The 3,907-nt window shown below is 54.1% G+C and overlaps 1 annotated feature.

The window, feature by feature from the left end:
• Nucleotides 3,334-3,907: an enhancer, noted in NCBI's record as "H3K4me1 hESC enhancer chr2:20396651-20397224 (GRCh37/hg19 assembly coordinates)". NCBI's record gives its function as "activates a minimal SCP1, AML or CMV promoter by ChIP-STARR-seq in primed H9 embryonic stem cells {active_cell/tissue: H9 hESC(primed)}" and the evidence as "EXISTENCE:reporter gene assay evidence [ECO:0000049][PMID:30033119]".

Genomic DNA, 3,907 nt, shown 5'->3' with positions numbered 1-3,907 from the left:
CAGCTGCTGTGGTGGTGGTTGAGTCTCTTCTTGGCCTGGCGATGTCCAGCCGTGTCACCTTCTAGGGGTGGGAGCCTGGTTCTGGGCAATGCTCTGGCTTGGTACAGAACAGCAGAATTCATGCTGGTCCCTCCTGTCGTGGAAGACAGAGTCCATCTCTGCCCTCCTCCCCCAAACCCCTGTGCAGGCATTCAGCATCTCGCCTTCCTCCTCCCGGGGCTCTTGGCCCTCCTGCCCAGCACTCCTTGTTCCTTAAGGCTCCACTGGATCATTCCCTTCCTCAAGGACATGATGGGCTCCCTACTGATTCTCAAAGCTTGCTATTTATTCTTTGCTCACTGTGATTTCTGTACACTCACTAGCAACAGTCTTTAAGTGCCAGAGGTCTAAAAAAACCATGTGCCTAGTAGGGAAAAATGACAGTGAAAGACCTGGAGGTTGAGGCAGCACACTGCACCGCAGGGGTCCTTAGTGTCCTAGAGCATCTATTATAGCTGGCTTTCCAGTCTTGTCCAGGCTGCTGGCCCACTCTGTCCCTGGTGCAGGTCACCCCCTGACCCTAGACCCCAGACCCCAGACCCCAGGAATGGCCTGGGCCCTGCAGAGCAGGAGGGACCGTTTCTTCCCCGCCCCTGCACCTGCTGATGGAGCAGGGACTGCTGGCTCCAGGTGGCTTTGCAGGATGGAGAATTCTATTCTTCCTGACACATTGTGTTCCAAAGGGTTTGGAGGCCGAGATAAAGTTTTCCAGGTCATTTATTCATTCAACAAACACTGAAAATACCAGTGCCTATCTCCTGCCAGTTCTTGGACTGGACAGGGAGGGCCCACTTGTAGAATTGGCCATCAGATAGTAATACTTTTATTAATAACATATTAATAACCCTCCACATGGGACCTGCAAGGTTCCAAGACCCCAGCTCCCTGGGCTGCCTGTCCCCATATATCCAAATCAAACTGCACCCCGTCCCACCTCTTGGCCCTGCTTGTTCTTAATGCCCTCTCGCAACTCTGTGCTTCCATTCTGAGTCCCCCACCCCAGGGCACCCCCAGGGCAGGGCTGTGCCATCAAACAGACTGCCGCATGTTTGAGACTAACAGTAAAAAAGGTGGAGGTGTTTAAATGTCATCCTTGGGCACCCCTTCCTCAAGCAGTGACTGCCCACCTCCCCTTGGGCCTCAGCCTGCTGTCCTGTGTCGCAAAGCCTAATCCCCATCTCTCCACTTTCCCACTTGCCCTGCCTGGGAGGGGAGCAGTGGGCACTATTTCCTTTTTCCGTTCCCTTTACATCATGCCCACAGTCTGGCCTGGGTGTGGGGGAGAGTGTGTGTGTACATTGCATGGGCGACTCACTGGATCTTCTACTAAGACCTCTCCCAAGTTATTTTCTAAACGCACGAGCCATCTTCTCTCAGATCGTGCTGCACTCTCAATGTGCAGCCAGCTTCTGTTTTAAATAGCATTTTTTTGCCTCGCTTGCCTCAGGGGTTTTGCTTGGGATATGTTTTCATAGCCAGAATAAAGACCCTGCCTTCTATTCTGCTCTCTGCTCTCAGGGAGGTTGTGGCCAGAGGGAGCAGACAAATGACAGAGTGGTATCAATGACAGAGAACTGTGTGGGCTGTGGGGCAACAGGGCACCTAACCTGCCCAGCGTCTGGGTCATGGAGGTGCCAGAGGGTGGCTGAACTGGGTCTGGAAGGACAAATTCAAGTCAGTCTCTCACACGGGGAAGGGATGTCAGTAGAGGATGTGAAGTGCCGGCAGGTGCAGGAGGGAGGGGCTGGAATGCGGAGCGGCAGGGCTGCCCACAAGGGAGAGGGTGCCTCTGAGGGGCTGCAGGAAAGATGAAGGTGCAGAGGGCTGGGGGCCTGAGGCCTGGCCATGGAGCAGAGGTGAGGATTGATGACTTTGTAGGATGGGTGGGGAGGAGGGGCTGGTAAGAGGCAAAACTGGCTGCACCTGGGCGGCGTGCCCCTGCCTCACCTTGCTCTCCTACAGGGGAGCCTGGGGATGAGGCTGTGCTCTGAGTGGGCCATCTAGGGTGGAAGGGACAGTAGTCCCAGAGCTGGGCCTTGAGGTGGGCCATCTCAGGCTCCCTCCCAGGTAAGGCACTGCTGGTGCACGGGCCCCCCACAGCATCTGGGAGAAAGGGTTTTTTAAATGGGTCTGCAGGTACCGACTGTGCAGAGGAGCCCCGGGACCAGGACCACGCTCCCTCCGCTGAGGCGCCCTCTCCCTCACTCCAATTACCCTCTTCCCCTGCCCCTTCTCTCCAGCTTGGCAGAAGAGAAAGGAGGCTGGGCTGCCTCAGGAGGTGGTGAGCCCCTGGCACCTGGAGCTGAATGAGTGAGGAGCCTAGAGGGGCTTAGAAACTGCTTTGGGCCCACAGGCCCTAAAGCTGTTGGAGCTGGAGGCCCCCATTCTGCAGACTCTGCCTGGCCATGGGACCAGCCCTCCCCTGGCTTTCTCCCTTCCTCCCTCTCCCAACACCGCTGCGCCTCCCCAGTACATGAGCCGCGCCCACTCGTGGCGTGCACATGTGCAAGGATGGATTTGCCCCAGTGCAGGTCCTCAGCAGGTCCGCCCCACACCTGCTCTCCTTCAAGCCTGGGGGAGGCACTTGAGTCCTTTGTGTTCTCATAACTTCAGGTCATGCCTCTCGGGCACCTCCTGCCACATGACAGCAGGTATCTTTCTGGCTTCCTGCCACCCTGGGTGCTCCTGGAGGGCAGATGTTTCCTTGTGCAGCCTGGCAGGAGGCATGGCATTCAGGGGCTCACTGCGAGTAGGGGGGCTCTGCTTTTGGGGTGCTCATTGAGGCTGGCTGGTACTGCTACCCTGCTCTGAAAGTCAAGCAACATTTAGAAGATGTTTAACAGTGCAAGTCACCACCACACCCACCTCCCACCACCAGAAAGGCTGCTTTTAGGGATGGGCAACGTCGTGTTGTGGGGAGATGTCCCTAGGTTGTCGGAGGGAGTGAGAATTGATAGGAGCTCTTTGGAAACTCACTTGGAAATACTTACTAACACTAAACATATACCTACCCTATGATCCAAGCAGAATGAGAGCATATATCTGCTGAATGGTGTGTATAAGAATGCATGTAACAGCTTTATTCATCAGAGCTCAAACAGAAACTGCCCAAATGTCCTTCACCGTGAGAATAGATAAATGAATTGTGGTGTATTCACACAGTGAAATACTACTCAGCAACAAAAAAGGACAAGCTACGGACACGGGTACAACAGAGATGAACATCATGGGCATATATATTAAGCACAAGAAGCCAGACACAACAAAGCCTACATTGCATGATTCCATTTGTAGGCAGTTCAGGAACAGGCAAAACTAATTGATGATAATAGAAGCCAGTGCGTTCCTCGGGCTGAGGGTGTGGTATTGACTAGGCATGGACACAAAAAACCTTCTGGGGTGCGGAAATGTTCTCTGGCTTGATGTCGGTGGTGATTAGAAGGGTGAACATATATGTAAATAAATCATCAAGCTATACACTTAGACGAGTGCACTCTGCGTATGTTATTCCTCAATAAGAAAGTTAAAGGGAAGAAAAACGCTTATAAAAGGGCTTCTGAGATTCTAATTAGTTCCTTTAAATCTCACTGCAGCTTTTTCAGCAAAAATGAGGGAGGCCCACATGGTGTACGTTTTCTTCAGAATCCCAGAGGATTCTGATTTATGGGCAGAGAGGCCCAGGGCAAAAGCCTCTCACAGCTGTGTGCCGAGCAGAGCAAGCGAGTGGCGGCTTCCCTGAGCCTGATGGGGAAGGCGGAGCGGGCCCCCTCTTCAGACAGCGGGAGGGTGGGCACTGCCTGGAGGGCAGCCCTTGGGACCCCCTCCCCCAGCTGCAGCCAGGCCCTAGCTTCCTCTGGTTCCTGGAACC

The sequence above is a fragment of the Homo sapiens genome, chromosome 2 (genome assembly GCF_000001405.40).
Source record: "Homo sapiens chromosome 2, GRCh38.p14 Primary Assembly".
NCBI lineage: Eukaryota > Metazoa > Chordata > Mammalia > Primates > Hominidae > Homo > Homo sapiens.
The sequence above is the reverse complement of the archived record's forward strand: the minus strand, read 5'-3'. Positions and strand labels throughout refer to the sequence as shown.